Consider the following 16338-nt stretch of genomic DNA (forward strand, 5'->3'; position numbering starts at 1 on the left):
TGATGGTCTCAGCGGACGGAACAGGATACAAAAGGGCATGTGAGTCAGTCAAATCACAGATAACAGGGAGCTGGGGCGGGGTGGAGCGTGATGTGTGTGTAAGGTTCATCTTAGGTTTTCAGCTCTGACATTCTATATAAAACCTCAGAAAGCTGGAGTTCATAGGTCTATAAATCCATTGTGAGGATGATTCTGTAAGCAGAGGTAAGGGAATTGGAGTTTTACTGGGCATTGCGAGCATGGATGTTCATTAGAAAACATCTTCATTCCATGTTTTCAGTTTCTAAATTTTTATGATTAAAATTCATGAAATTCACTGACTTGGAAATTATTCTAAATACCCCTGATATCTGATCTTTTCATATATCTTCTCTGAGACTAGAAGGAAAAAGAATAAACAGAAGAGAAGAAAATAGGAATAAAATAAGGATGAAGAACAGAAAGAGAATAGGGAGGGGACAATATTTAATTTGACCAGCAATATGTGGCCTGATGAGAACAGCTGTGAGGGCCTGCAGGGTGTGTGGGGAAAGGTCTGGGAAGAGGAAGGGGAGAGGTAGAAATGCAATTAGAGTGGATATCATACGCACATCCTATTTTTCCTCTAACCAACCAACCTCTAGTTGGAAACATTTTCTAATGCCCTGATTTCAAGAAACTATTTATTTCTAAATTTGCAATGCATGCTATCAAATAGTTTTCCTTTATTAGAATTTTCATATATTTGAATTCTCCAATTTTCTGTCAAACTGTGTAATTTGGGAAATGGGATCTCTCTTCCCATGACTCTTTAAAGCTCTATTTAACCTAGCTGAGACACAGATTCTTCTGAGAGGTATCATCCCCCTTCCTCACATACTATCCATAAACTAGTCTTACATAAAGTGCTTCTTTTTTTTAAAAAAAACCTATATCTTCATACATTAGAAATATTGCCTCTTCCTCTCGTGAACTATTCACACCCATGAATTTGGAGAGATTGCTGTGCAGTCTCACTGGGCCACTGTGGGTGGTTTCCTCTTCAGATGATTTTTAAAACTTATGTTTTTAAACTTAAAAACTTTTAAATAAAAGACTGATCATGAACATTGCAATAAGGCAAGTTGAAGAGTACCTGAATCCTTCAAAAAGTTTAGAAACTCTAGTATTGAAAATTAATACATTACAATTTGAATATCTGCAGGTTTCAAAATAGAAATTAAATCTAAGTGTAGCAGCTTGATAGAAAGGAACATTATTTTCATGCAAAGTTTTGAATGACCCAGTTATCGACATAGAGGCTAATTTTCAAATCAATTTTTCTTATAATTGAAGATACAATGGTAGGATGCACAAACAAACATAGTGAATCATATACATATCATGAAGCCACTTTGTTACTTTTTTAAACAAATTTTTTTTTAAGAGAAGTGGTCTTGCTCTGTTGCCCAAGCTCAAGTGCAGTGGCACAATTATAGTTTGCTTTAGCCTTGAACTCCTGGGCCCAAGTGATCTTCCTGTCTAGGTCTCCCAAAGTGCTGAGATCACAGAAGACCCTGTCTCTGCTTCTGAAGGAGCCCAAGGATTGGTTAGGGTAAGCTCAGACCCACTAGATTGCCTGTGGGTGTGAAAATGGTCTTGGGAGTTCCTTGATGCAGGATAACTTCTGCCTACTCCCATGCTCTATGCTGTACACAATCAGTCCTCAGTAAATATTTGCCTTGTTAAATAGTATAAAAGAATTTTAGACCTATAAAAGCATTTAGAAACCTTTTAGTTCAACTTCATTTTATAAACACAGAAACTATATCCAAGATGCCAGTATGAAACCATTAGATAGTAAATGATCTAGCAGTAGAAAGAAACTGGATTTCCTCCCTTCCTCCTTAGCTTCTTGCTCTTGCCTATTCCTGCAGGCACATATTGTTGAACAAAGAGAAACTATCTAATGGCAGCCCTGCCAGGTTGACCTCTGCATTTTGGTTCCGGGAAAGGCTTGGTTCAATCACTTTGACCATGAGAACGGAGAGTTCCAGTTTGTGTAAACATTTACCACTTTGGGCAAGAAAGATATTCAGGCTGAGCCACTGTTATTCTACCAGGAAATCCAGTCCATGACTCACTGGCTGCTGTAGGAGTGAGCCAAACATGGTGGTGCCACCCTCAACCCCCAGAGGTATTTCTAAGGACTTTCCTAAAAATAGTAAGATATATTCATTATGCTGGGTGGATATTCCTTGAAGGAAGGATGTGGACATAGTGAGCATTACTCTACATTGTCAAAAAATAATAATTAGAATAGGGAAGCTAAGGGTAACATGTCCTCAAGTGGTTGATAGTTCATAAAGGTGTGAGAAAATCTTTTCTGGACCAACACATTGACAATGAGTTAGGTAATATTCAATGAAATAATCATAGGGTTGGGAATTTTGTCCAGGGGATGGCCATACCTAAGGCATAGTTAATATGTGGAATACTATGATCCATATGAGTGGTCATATTTAGACCATTACATTCAGTTCTTAATGCTATACTCAAAAGGCCAAATATTGACCTAAATTATCTGTCACCAAAAGGAGGGAAACTCATCCAATAAAGGATTTGAGAATTATATTGTATGAGGAATGAGTGAGAAAAGAGAAAATCCTTAGAATGGAGAAGTTTTACATATGTAAAAACACACATTTTATGTATACATATCTATATTTATATGTTTTAGTTGCTATTTTTCATCATAACTGTCCTTACATACTTAAGGGTGCAAGATGTGAATAAGAAATTATATTCAGTCTTTATAATTCCAGGGGCCTAGTGAGTACAAGTCACAGGAAATGCACTTTTCTTCTGGAAACCAGATAGTCTTGGTATCTGAGGAACCATTTCCCATGGTCACTTATTTAGTTTTGCACTCTCCCTCCTAGCAGACACAGGCAATATTTTGGCTTCCATAGATTTAGTTTTATGGAAGTAATCAGAACGTATCAAAAATTAAAGTAGATAAGCAATTTTTTTTGCAAGAAGAGATAAACCCAGAAATGTACAAGACTGAAGGACTTTATCAATATCTTAGGGAAGAACACTGTAGTGGAGTTTGGGAGAAAAACGGCAGATATGGAACCTGAGCTAGCAATGGCTAAGGCAAGAGCAGTCCATGCCAGAGGAGTTGGCTCATATTTTAGAGGCAAGTTCCACTGAAGATATGAGTCAATCATTGTATTTAAGGACATGCCATATTGATATCATTCATTTTGGTATCAGAAAATAAAAGCACCTTAATAGAAATTTACATGTGGTTTCATTTTTGGAGCCTGCAGCCTGATGTTTTCTGAGAATTTCTCCTTGTTTTTTCTGCACTTTGCAGAATACAAGCCACATAGCAATAGGAAAAGGTTTCTTAAAACATGCCAGATTTCTCCTTGCAAACCAGCCCAATCTATGGGTCAAACTTTCCTATTGTTGGAGTATTTAATAACTCATGGAACTTGTTCCCTTCCTCCTTTATCATTGTACTTTAATTCTTTACCTTTTATTAAAGCCATCCTTACCAAAGAAAGATTCCACATTTCGACTGTTGGTACTGTCAAGTCTCTGGGAATAGAAAGTCATGGGGAAGACCAGTCTTGGAGAAGCAGAGCCTGAGATAATATGCACGTGAAATATTGAGTAGTCCTCTCTCTCTTACTCTTATCTTTGGCTTACATATTCCTTTAAGAAAGAGTCTTTCTCCATAACAAACAAATCATGATGACCGATTTGACTGCAAGGGAATGTATTACTTTTGTTTGTCCAGGACAGTGAATCATGGTGTTTTCCTGATTTCAAACATGTAAACTTGGTGCATCATTGTATAAACACCTGCAACATCTACCTCTTTCTAACTTTTTAACAATGACTCATTAGTTTGCATAAATATCAATCTTGATATCTACATTCTTACTGTGAACTTCATCTCAGAGTGAAGACTTTATTTGTTTGACCTATTGCTCCTTTTGTGCATCTGAGTCCCTCCTAGGGTTATAGAAAAACATTCAAACTGCAAGTTTAGTAGCTACGAATGTGACCACAAGATGGCAGTGCTTCTCTGCTGATGCAGAACACACAGAGGTTTCATTTTAGTGGATTCTGATTAAATAGGTTTATGGCAGAAGTAGAGCCTTTTTCTATTGGCTGAGTAGACAATGTGAGAAACCACTATGATTGTTAGAGGAAAGAAAGGAATACCCGATGATGGAAGTAGCTCTTATGGCTGGAGATTGCAGGTTTATGACTGATCCTATTTGGGAAGAACAATGATGGCAGGCATTCGAGCTTTATTTATGTACTTGTGGCTGCAGCTGGACTGTAAGTTTAGAGTTTTGGGTAACACAGTATATTAGTTGATGATTTTGAGACATCCAGGGGGAAGTCTTGCTTTATTTAGGCTTCCTCTAGTTACTATAGAAAAAGAAAATTCTGGAGAATAATAACTTGATAAACCTTTCTCTTTTTCTTTCTGCACAGGGGTGAGCAGAGGAGAGAGTGTGGGGCTGCATCTTCCTACCCTGAGTGTCCAGGAGGGTGACAACTCTATTATCAACTGTGCTTATTCAAACAGCGCCTCAGACTACTTCATTTGGTACAAGCAAGAATCTGGAAAAGGTCCTCAATTCATTATAGACATTCGTTCAAATATGGACAAAAGGCAAGGCCAAAGAGTCACCGTTTTATTGAATAAGACAGTGAAACATCTCTCTCTGCAAATTGCAGCTACTCAACCTGGAGACTCAGCTGTCTACTTTTGTGCAGAGAATACACATTGCTTTCCAGGCATCTGTAACCATCACCCAAACCTGAGATGGGAGGTGAAGCAGCATCCCTTTCCTTTGCAATAAATTTTAGTTATAGCACTTGTCATTTTGTTTGTTCATAAGTGGAAACTAACATATAGATATTAAAACCATGTAATGAGGTTAGATTCAAAGTGACCCAGAAAGGTTTAGAGCATTTTGTTGGCCAGTTGATGCTTAATGGATTCCGTTTTTCAAAAAAATATATGGTACGCATTTAAGTTAACAACATGAAGTTTTGACACACATGTACATAGTAAAGTAAAGAGTCAGCTAAAGAGACGCATAGGGCAAGGTATGGGAAAAATGGCCCTGAGCTTCCATGCCTTCTCTGGCTCTGCCACCCACCACATGTTCAGCAATCAGGAGGTTCTGCTCAAGGGATCCTTACAGAGATTTAGTGATGTTGGATTTTGTAATCTAGTCTTCAAAGGTGACTTTACATTTGCTATTCAGACTTCTCTCCTATGAATAACCCCTTAGTGTCAATATTGCAATCCCTATTATGGATAAATTTTAACTTTTAGTTTTCAAAAATTGCTTTTGTTATCTTTTTCTTATTGTAAAACATTACATGCCAAAACCAGATAGTGTAAAATATAAAAAATACAAAATTGATAATTCTGTACCCAGATAGGTTTTGCTAATATTAGGTTGGTGCAAAAGTAAGTGCTGTTTTTGCCATTAAAAGTCATGGCAAAAATAACAATTACTTTTGCACCAACCTAATATTTAGATTTGTTTCTTGATAGAGTCCTATTATAATTAGGATCATGATTTTTTCACCTATTCTTATATCTCGAATTGAGCTTTTCTCACTTCGTCCTCTCCTCAAACACATGCTTTTTAATAGCTCCGTGAGAAATTTTCACCAGTCACAGTTATTTTTATTTTCTTACTCTCTGTATCTGTGGTAAAATTTGGCAGTCCCTTCTACCTGCTGTTTCTTGTTGGGAAAACGTGATGAGTTTTCCTTTAGAGTCTAGTTTGGACATATACTCTGTGTGTGCGAGGGAAATTAAAACAGGAAGTGATTTTAAAATGTGAGCTTCAGATTAGAGTCATCAGTATATTCTTCAAAATCTTATTGGTATCTCTTCATATTTACTCTCTCACATAATTGAGAAGAGTTATGTTTTTTAATCACTCTGTTTCTGCAGAACCTAGCATAAGCTTTTTCACATTGTTAATAATCAATAGATGTTTGTTAAAGAAAGAAAAAATGGATTAAACTATTGTATATTCAAAATTTTAACTTAGGCTTTGTGGTTGAATTAAACGTATAATTTTATGTGTGAATAATTAAACTCCTGAAAATGTATATTTGAATAAGTTGAATATTTGAGAGCATATTTCTTTCCATTTATCTATGTCATTCTTTTCCATAAAACTTTATCGTTTTAAGATAATTAAATTTTTTTCTAGACATTTCATTTTTATTGCTACCTTTATCTTTCTTTCTGAGGTATGTGGCAATGTTTTTAATAAATATTTTTCAGCTACATTATTCAATTCTTATTAGTAAATTGCAGGAGGCATTTGGATAGTTAATTTATGCTAGGTTGTTCCAAATACCCCGCCTCACTTTCGTGTTTTGACTGCTTTAAACATTACGAGTGCAGTTTCCTTTTCAAAAGTTGTATCTTTTCGTGTTGTTGATAAAAATAATGGAAATAAAGAAGTTGCATAAATAATTAATTCCCTAATTCTCCCACCTGTGGTCAAGAGTAGGCTAATTTCAAGATCCCTCATATTATTCCTAAGGATGGATATAACCGGCGATTGGTAGGGTGAGAATGATCCCTTCTGGCTGAGTTATGGCTGTTAGTTATTAGCTAGGTCTTATAGGAAAAGTCATTAGATTAAATTGGGGTTTAAAAACAACTGAACAAGGAAGGTCAGTATTGTAGCCCAGTAACTCAACTGGCTTTTGTTATTTCCCTGTCTATACCACTAGCTCCTCTCCGGAGAAGCAAGCTGACTCTTGATCAGTCCATTTCCTCCAAGAATGAAATGGAGTGATTGGGAATCATGGCTTATAGTCTATTTATTTTTTGCTTGTTTAGAAGAAAGAGTGTAATTGCTATTGGCTTAATTGCTGTATCTTACTTGGTTGTCAATTTTTCCAATGTAAGAAAAAAAATTATCCAGCTAGAGTGTGCAAAGTCAGTACCCAGCTTAGATCCAGACACATTCAAGCATTAAACTTTAAATGGAAAAGAGTACTGATGAGGAGAGACATTAGCAGGTAATAAAATTTACTATAAAATTACCTTCTGAGGTTGGCATACAATGAAACAGATCAAAGGAGCTAAATAAAACACATTGAACAAATAAACCAAGGTTTATGTATTTTTTTGTTGCCTCTGTACAAACTTGCTGTCTTAAAACAATAGATACATATTTTTTTAAATCATCTTCACTGGGCTGAAATCAAGGAGTCAGTAAGGCCCGCTTCAGAGGCTGCAGAGAAGAATCTGTTCCTTGCCTCTTCTAGCTTTGCCAGCATTTCTTGGCTTGTGGTGCCATCACCCCAATCCCTGTTGCTATGGTCACATTGGCTTTTCTTCTTATGTTGTCAAGAACACATTTCCACAAGTTCAAAGGCAATATTTCTTTGAAAATTTTTTTGAATACCAAGTCACCCAGGTTTAGGTAAAGTAAAAGCTGATTAAATGAAAGGCCAGGAAGGAAAACCTGTACCTGTTGGTTAAAGGACTGAATATAATGAGTTTATTTATCTATTAATAGTTAAGTGTGTCAGAATGGAATATGTGTGGTTCAGAACATTCTGAGTAATATGGGCCTACTAGTGACCAGTTCATAGTGAGATGACACATGACTTTGGGATGGGGAAGAATGCAGGGCCACTAGAGCTAAGGGTAATAATGCTTTAGGCCACGGGAGTTCACAGATGTCTGATAGGGTAACTAATTTTATTCTTAATAGTCATACATTGTTTCAACATTTTCAGAGGACCAGGAGGTGATAAGAAAAGCAGTTTCTGAGTGAGAGCAAAACCTTACATAACTGTCCTAGAAAAACATGTTCCTCTACATATAGATAATTTGATTGGCACAGATAAAAAATGGAAATCAATTGATTTAGCTATTGTGAGTGCTGTATCTTTATGACGGGTGAGTGCTTCAACCCATGTAGAAAATAAAACAACTCTTACTAGTGCATACTCACAACCCCTTAGGGAGTAGAACTGTCTGAAACATACTCAACTGTTCCCTTAGGACAGTATTCCAGTTCATATTCCACTTTTACAGTTTTCATGGAATTTTGGAGCTTCCAAAAAAGACATGAACTGTCTGCATTCCCTAGTATTCTAGAAAAGTCTCCCCACAAATGTTTAATATTGCAGTCAACATGTCCCTACTGCGATGGGTGGTCCCTGGAGGGTATTAACAAGTGTTCATTGGCAATCATCTGGTTCCACCAAACAGCCTTTCTGGCTTTGATATATCTTATCCTCACTGATCAAACAAATCAATAATTCATCTAAGGTGGAGTTATTGACATTTTCCATGGTTGCATCTTTAAGTTCCATAAGAGGTGCTTGCATAAGGACTTTAGTCAGAAAGCCATGTTTAGCATGATCCCCTGCTCACGTATTTTTTTCTAGCTTCTAAAGTGCCTTTCATACATGGAACTTTGTCTTCATTAGGAAATTTATTTCAATAGCGTCAAGACATCAAATAATTTATGTATTTGGTGTCCATTTTTATAAAGATACATGAAATATATGAGAAGGTTAAGAAGAGGTAAAGGAGGTTAAGGAACCTCATCGGCTCCATTATATTTGGAAGTTGTGACCTGTGTTAAAGCATTGACTATCACTGTTTATATTTATCATAATTTGGCATGCAAAAATGAGAGTCACAATTTCAGCCACTTGCATTAATTTTACTTCTAAGAGATTGAATTTTATAATAGAGTCGGGTAGTTATTACATAAAAAGTTTTGCGTTATTCCTTTTCAACTTTGAGTTTAATACATTAAAACAATTAATTCAGAAGTTGATACGAGACTGTTCAAAATATCTGTTTGAGTGTGGACACTTCTTAAATGACAAAAGCACAGTTAAAAGATTTATTGATTGAGAAGTGTAATGGAGTTGAACACTATGAAGATAAATTTGTAATATTTCATAATTACTCCACCAACTGGTAGAACAAATAATGGATGCTTTTACAAAATAGATAACTTGTACTGTACGTGATATCATAAGATATCTGAAGACGCTTCAACCAATTTTGACAAGAAAGATCTGAAGACGCTTCAACCAATTTTGACAAGGCTAAGATAAGCTATTTTAAGACAAGAGCGATAAGCTATGGCTACTATATTAATAAATAAATTATGGTAGGCAAGGCAATGACCTGAGTTGTTTGCAGTGTTGTTGAGTAGTATCACTAGGGCATGGTCTTTAATGTTTACACAGAAAGAAAATTTGTCACAATCGGTGATCCTGTAATCAGTTGTCCTGTATATGGGATCGTCCAGAACACATTCTCTTCAGAGCGGGGCATACAGAACGGCGTGGCTTGCTGGGGCTTATTTGGAGTCTGAATTGAAGTCATGGAAAAAATATAAATTCGAAGGTTTGATAACCTAATAACCAAACTCTGTAATCTAATATGATCTGTATGAACAGAGCTGGCTGTTGAAACTGAATAGAAAAGAGAATGGGACCTTTAAAACACAACTTGATATCTGAGGGGTTAATTCTAAACTCTTCGTCAAAGAGAGATTCGTTTTTCTGCTGTTTGGCCCCAAGATTGGCAACTGGATAGGCATTGGAATTGAGGAGGAATACTGTTATATCAATAGATAAGTCAAAAGATCTGCAGAGATTTGTACAAACCTTCTTATCATAACATGATGTATTTGTACTTTAGGAGAAACAACAACATACATAGATGTGAGGCTAGAGGATTATTGTATCTTACATTGTCTGTATAATTCATTACAGGTATCAAATATGTGTCAATCTCCCAGTTCCATCACAGGTGCAATGATAAAATACAGTAGTTGGTCAAATGATCATTTTTCCTCTCAATGTGACCATGTTTATTTTCAGATTTGTTAACAAATTAAGAGTTGGTTGATCCAAAAGAAAGTCTGCATTGGGTGAGCTTCTCAGCCAGTACATAGAGAAGTGTGAGATGACACACACTAGTTTGCTATACCAGGAAACCTCTGTTTCCTGTTCTAGGGCAGCAGTAGCAGCAGCACATGGCCCAGTAATTCTTCTCTCACCATGCCAGGTTCACTTCACAGTACAGAGTCCTGAAAATAAAGAAGAAAATTTTTTTTTATCTAGAAAAAGAACCAAACATGTCACTTTCTAGCCTGCTGAAGGTGGTCACAGCTTCACTGTGGCTAGGTATGGGTGGCCCAGTGGGAATGGACTTTCTGTATGAACTAAGGACTTTGGAAGTATCTTTATGGAAACTTTGGGAAGGAGGGGTAATGGGGTACAAAAATTGAATTTCTTTGTCCCAATCCACTTTATCCTTAAACCTTCAAATTCTATCTTTTTTCCTTCAGGACCTGGCATTGCCCAGAAGATAACTCAAACCCAACCAGGAATGTTCGTGCAGGAAAAGGAGGCTGTGACTCTGGACTGCACATATGACACCAGTGATCCAAGTTATGGTCTATTCTGGTACAAGCAGCCCAGCAGTGGGGAAATGATTTTTCTTATTTATCAGGGGTCTTATGACCAGCAAAATGCAACAGAAGGTCGCTACTCATTGAATTTCCAGAAGGCAAGAAAATCCGCCAACCTTGTCATCTCCGCTTCACAACTGGGGGACTCAGCAATGTACTTCTGTGCAATGAGAGAGGGCACAGTGACAGAACTGTCGGAGGGAGGTGTACAAAAGCCCTGGGGACCTGCTTGAGACCTCCACCTGCTGGAGAACCAAGGCGGGAAATCAACATCACAGACAGGAAGTGGCTACAGCTGTGGCAGCCCAGATGCAGTGTTGTAGGAAATACACTTAACTCTAAGAAAATACCTCTTTAAGTTCATAGACCATGATCAAAGTTATCATTAACTAAAAACTTTCTTATCCCTGAATCTTTGGTTTAAAGTTTAGACATACCAAATTTGTGACTGAAGATTGAAGAGAAAAAACTGCCACAATAAACAATTTGCCATTTGGCTACTAAATTGAACTGGATTCAAAAACATGTGACTGAAAAATCATTTAAAATATCTGTGAATTTTCATATCAATTTGTTCAGTAAATACTGGAGATCTAAAAAAAGTTCATGAAAAATACGTATTATAAAAACTATTTTTGGATTTCAATTTTTTTTTGCACCAAAATAAACTTACACTTAAATTGCTATAACATATGTAGACAGGATCTACTTTGAGGCACTAAGAAAAATAGGACAGCAATTTGAAAAGAACCCCTATTAGAGCAACAGATTCTGCTAAAATGAAGCAAAGGAAAGCTTCACATTTATGGTGAAGGTTGGGTAGTAGAATGGTGAAATCATCAATTCTCTATGAAACTTTACGAAGTCAGTGCTCCAAATAAATCAGCAGTTAGCAAGTGGATAACTCATTTTAAGAAGGGATGAGACAATGTTGAAGGTAAATCCTGCAGTGGTAGACCATCCACACCAATTTGTTTGGAAAAAGTTAACCTTATTTGTGCCCTAATTGAAATGGACTGATGATTAACAGCAGAAACAATAGCCAACACCACAGACACCTCAATCGGCCCAGCTTACACAATTTTGACTGAAAATTAAAGTTGAGCAAACTTTCCATTCCATGGGTGCCAAAACTATTGGACCTAGATCAGTTGCAGACAAGATCAGAGCTTTCAATAAAAATTTTAAGCAAGTGGGATCAAGCCCCTGAAGCATTTCTTTGAAGAGCTGTAACAAGAGATAAAGCATGGCTTTACCAGTATAATTCTGAAGGCAATGCACAATCAAAACAATGGCTACCAAGAGGTGGAAGTGGTCCAGTCAAAGCAAAAGTGGACCAGTAAAGTGCAAAAATTATGGCAATAGTTTTTTGGGATGCTCAAGGAATTTTGCTTGTTAGCTTTCTGGAGGGCCAAAGAGCAAAAACATTTGCTTATTATGAGCATGTTTTGAGATATGTAGCCAAAACTTTAGGAGATAAATGCCTAGGAAAGCTCCACCAGAGATTTCTTCTTCACCATGACAATGATCCTGCTCACTCCTCTCATCAAACAAGGGCAATTTTGTAAGAGTATTGATGGAAAATCGTTAGGCATCTACATAGCCTTGATTTGGCTCCTTGGACCTCTTTTTGTTTCTTAATGTTAAAAAAATCTTTAAAAGGCACCCATTTTCTTCAGTTAGTAATGTAAAAATGAACTCATTGACATAATTAAATTCCCAGGACCCTCAATTATGCAGCAATGGACCAAATGGCTAGTATCACTGCTTACAAAAGTGTTTTGAGCTCAATGGAGCTTATTTCAGGAATAAGGTTTATATTTTTTATTTTGATTTTACTTTACACGAACCTTTTGAAATGTCCTTGTATTTATTGTGTTATAGACATTATTTTAAATAGGAAAGGCATTGAAATCTTTTATATTTCCCTTCTAAATATATTATGTTGTTTATATTGTTTAATGGATTAATTTGATTTAGGTTTGTTTGCTGTGAGTAAATGGTACTTAAACATTTATTTTCTAAAGGTGTCTACTATGTGCTAAGAGCTCCTTTCATCTTATTAACACCTTGAATGTGGAAGAAATCAGTCTCCATACTACAGATTTACCTGCCTCTCAACATTCCTATCCACGAAGTGATCATTATTTAGTGGCTTCCAGAAGGACATGTGGAGAATGTTCCTCACAGAGGCACAAACCTTTTCATTTATATATTAATAAGACATCTTTTCTTCTAAAATGAATCACCATTTTTGAAATATATGAAATTTCCCTTTCCCTATAATGTTTCCACATGGTTTATTTCGTTCCACTGATCTATTTGTTTCACTCTATGACAATCTCAGAATGTAGTTTTATAGTAAATTTTATAATCTCTTAGGGTAAATCACTTTTCACCAAAAATCTTTTTCAAGATTTTAAAAAATAATTCTTGCACATTTACTTTTCAGTATGTTAAAAGTTCTGTCACATTTTCCTCATGTTCAATACCCTTCTATTAAACTGACAAAACAAAAATGTCTAAAAACCAGACAGTTGAAATTGCATTTAATGAATATGTTAACAAATATCAACTTGTTTTCGTATGTTTTTATTCAGTAAAATGATATTTTTTCTAATTGTAAAGGATCTTTTATGTTCTCTATTACATTGTGAAGTTTCTTACTTTTATCTTCATATGGATTTGTATATAACTGTTCCCACACATCCATCTATATATATGCATTTTAAATGAAATTATCTTTTATATATTCATTTTTACTGATATTCCCAGTACAAACAAATGCTATTTAAAAATCATCTTGGTTATATAGCTAAGAGTTTCTAACTTTAAAGTACAGATAATTTGCAATATATTCATACTACTTGAACCATTAAAGTTTATTTTATGAACCTAGACTAACCTCAACCCAACACCTAAAAAATAGCATGATAAAAATATTTACTCTCCAATTTTTTTTTTTAAGACAGAGTCTCGCTCTGTTGCTCAGACTGGAGTGCAGTGCCACTATCTCGGCTTACTGCATCCTTTGCCTCCTGGGTTCAAGCGATTCTCCTGCCTCAGCTTCCTGAGTAGCTGGGATTACAGGCGTGCACCACCACCACACCCGGCTAGTTTTTGTATTTTTAGTAGAGATGGGGTTTCACCCTGTTGGTCAGGCTGGTCTCAAACTTCTGACCTTGTGATCTACCCGCCTCAGCCTCCCAAAGTTCTGGGATTACAGGCTTGAGCCACCAAGCCCAGCCTACTCTCCTATTAAAAAGTCAAGAAACAACAGATGCTGGCGAGGCTGCGGAGAAATAGGAATGCTTTTACACTCTTGGTGGGAACGCAAATTAGTTCAACCATTGTGGAAGACAATGTGGAGATTCCTCAAAGACCTACAGCCAGAAATACCATTTGACCCAGCAATCTCATTACTGGGTATATACCCAAAGGAATATAAATCATTCTATTATAAAGATACCTGTACCTGCATGTTCATTGGAGCACTATTCACAATAGCAAAGATGTACAATCAACCCAAAAGCCCATCGATGATAGACTGGATGAAGAAAATGTGGTTCATATACACCATGGATACTATGCAGCAATAAAAATAAATGAGATCATGTCCTTTGCAGGGACATGGATGGGGGTAGAAGCCATTATCCTCAGCCAACTAACACAGGAACAGAAAATCAAGCACCTCATGTTCTCACTTATAAGTGGGAGCTGAACAGTGAGAACACACGGACACAGGAAGGGGAACAACACACACTGGGGCCTGTTGGGGAGGGAGGCGGAGGGAAAGCATCAAGATAAATAGCTAATGCGTGTGAGGCTTAATACCTAGATAATGGGTTGATAGGTGCAGCAAACCACCATGGTACACGTTTACCTATGTAGCAAATCTGCATATTCTGAATATGTATCCAAGAACTTAAAAGAACATATTTAAAATTCATTGAAGAAATTGAACATATATTTGCAAGTGTCCCATGCCAATATAAAACACATTATAATAAGCATGTATACATCTTATTAAATCAGAATGAATATCCATATATTCATATTCATATAACTTGATAAAAAATAGCAGTTGGATACATAGTATTAATTTAAAAATTCTAGTTTTAAAATTTATAATTTTAGATTTTTAATTTAAATTTTAAATTTCAAATTTTTAAAATACCTCATTTTATTTCTGATGTCTGGAATCTTATTTAGTTGAAAATGTCTCTTTGAATTCTCTGAGTACCATGAGCTTGTATAGCTTATGCTGCTGCCTCTAATGTAGCTGCTATTGTTTTCAATATGGAATGAACAAGGTGATTGGATTTCTTGAACCACTTACTATAATAGAACCTCTAGATATTTCTACCAAATAAAGAGTAGAGAACAAATTAAAATACGCCAAATGTATTTTTACAGCTACTTTCACATCTATTAGATGGAGTCTTTCATAGACATTTTATGAAAGAGTTTCATAATCCTCACACTTGTTACAACGTACAGTCTAAACAGGCAAGATCTATTCACTCTAACATAATATCTAAGGGATGGTGTGAAGGATATTGCAAGCATATACACACACACGCACACACACTCACATCTCACCACAAGTTAGAGTTTACAGATAGCGGTTTACCTTTGAGGTAGTTAGAGAGAACCAGTAAAGAAGTCACACATATTCAGCCTAATAAGTAATTAGTTCAAATCTAATAGAAATGACATCTAAAATTGGAATCTTAGAAACAAGACTCTACTAAAAGATAACTTTGGAATGCACCAAAAATCAGTTTTTTAATTGAGAAATATTGCCTTTCACTAACTCTTCAGTCATTATCATTGTATTTCTTGGCATCTACATCTGGGAAAACCTTTGTAACCACAGGTAAAATGTAATATGGAAATGGTCACTCTACCTTAGTTTAATAAATGTATTCAATTGTTTTAGTGACAGAAAATTTACTCTTGAATAGAGATGCAAATATTTAAATTAAGTAATTAAAACCCAGAAGGCAGTGTATTAACAAAATAATGCAGCTTGATTTTTAAAAAGTTATTATTATTATTATTTTTTTTATTATTATACTTTAAGTTTTAGGGTACATGTGCACATTGTGCAGGTTAGTTACATATGTATACATGTGCCATGCTGGTGCGCTGCACCCACTAACTTGTCATCTAGCATTAGGTATATCTCCCAGTGCTATCCCTCCCCCCTTCCCCCACCCCACCACAGTCCCTAGAGTGTGATATTCCCCTTCCTGTAAAGTTATTTATTCACTTATATATCCATTTATTTTTAAAAAATCATTCAGCACCTACAGAGTGACAAACTTTGTGCTGAGAACTCAGTCCATTTAACAATCTTATTGCAATCTCTAGCATGTAATAGCTCAATTTCTATACTGTAGGTTTACCTGCCCCATACCAGATTTATCCATAAAATGATTAATAAATTAGTGGCTCTTAGAGGGACATTGTAGAGAGGCAGAATTTGAAGTCTTTCTTTTCTCTGCTTTTGTGCTTCATTTTACCCCTCTTTCAAAAACATTTAATGCCATCATGTGGATCAACTTTGCACACCCCCAGACCTGTTCCACCATCCAAAATCCTCATTCTTTTCAATCTTCTCCTTCTACCTCCAACACCATTTTCTCCTTCCCTAAGCTTTGAATGGTAATGGTTGGTTGGTAAGTGATCTTGTATTGTAACATCCTCTTGTATTTGCATTTGAAAAGTAGATGTGTATAGTATAAATCTTAAAGAGAAATATGTTTAAAAATTTTTAAAATTATTTTTAATTGTGGAAAAATATATATAACATAAATTTTGCCATGTTAACCATTTACAAATGGAC

The 16338-nt window shown here is 35.9% G+C and overlaps 2 gene segments (V, D, J or C) and 1 further gene, besides 8 other annotated features; all 3 read left to right on the forward strand.

Moving 5' to 3' along the window:
* TRA (T cell receptor alpha locus) overlaps positions 1–16338 on the forward strand; it is a 930229-nt gene that overhangs the window by 292083 nt on the left and 621808 nt on the right.
* Positions 4272–4320: a sequence feature (TRAV13-2 leader sequence).
* TRAV13-2 (T cell receptor alpha variable 13-2) lies at positions 4272–4770 on the forward strand. The segment is given in 2 exon segments: positions 4272–4320; positions 4480–4770. Coding segments are annotated over 2 exon segments (340 nt in total), but the record flags the coding sequence as incomplete, so codon positions are not given.
* Positions 4480–4490: a sequence feature (TRAV13-2 leader sequence).
* Positions 4778–4800: a recombination feature (spacer).
* Positions 4801–4809: a recombination feature (nonamer).
* Positions 10152–10200: a sequence feature (TRAV14DV4 leader sequence).
* TRAV14DV4 (T cell receptor alpha variable 14/delta variable 4) lies at positions 10152–10665 on the forward strand. The segment is given in 2 exon segments: positions 10152–10200; positions 10365–10665. Coding segments are annotated over 2 exon segments (350 nt in total), but the record flags the coding sequence as incomplete, so codon positions are not given.
* Positions 10365–10375: a sequence feature (TRAV14DV4 leader sequence).
* Positions 10673–10695: a recombination feature (spacer).
* Positions 10696–10704: a recombination feature (nonamer).

The sequence above is a fragment of the Homo sapiens genome, chromosome 14, assembly GCF_000001405.40.
Source record: "Homo sapiens chromosome 14, GRCh38.p14 Primary Assembly".
NCBI classification, from domain to species: domain Eukaryota; kingdom Metazoa; phylum Chordata; class Mammalia; order Primates; family Hominidae; genus Homo; species Homo sapiens.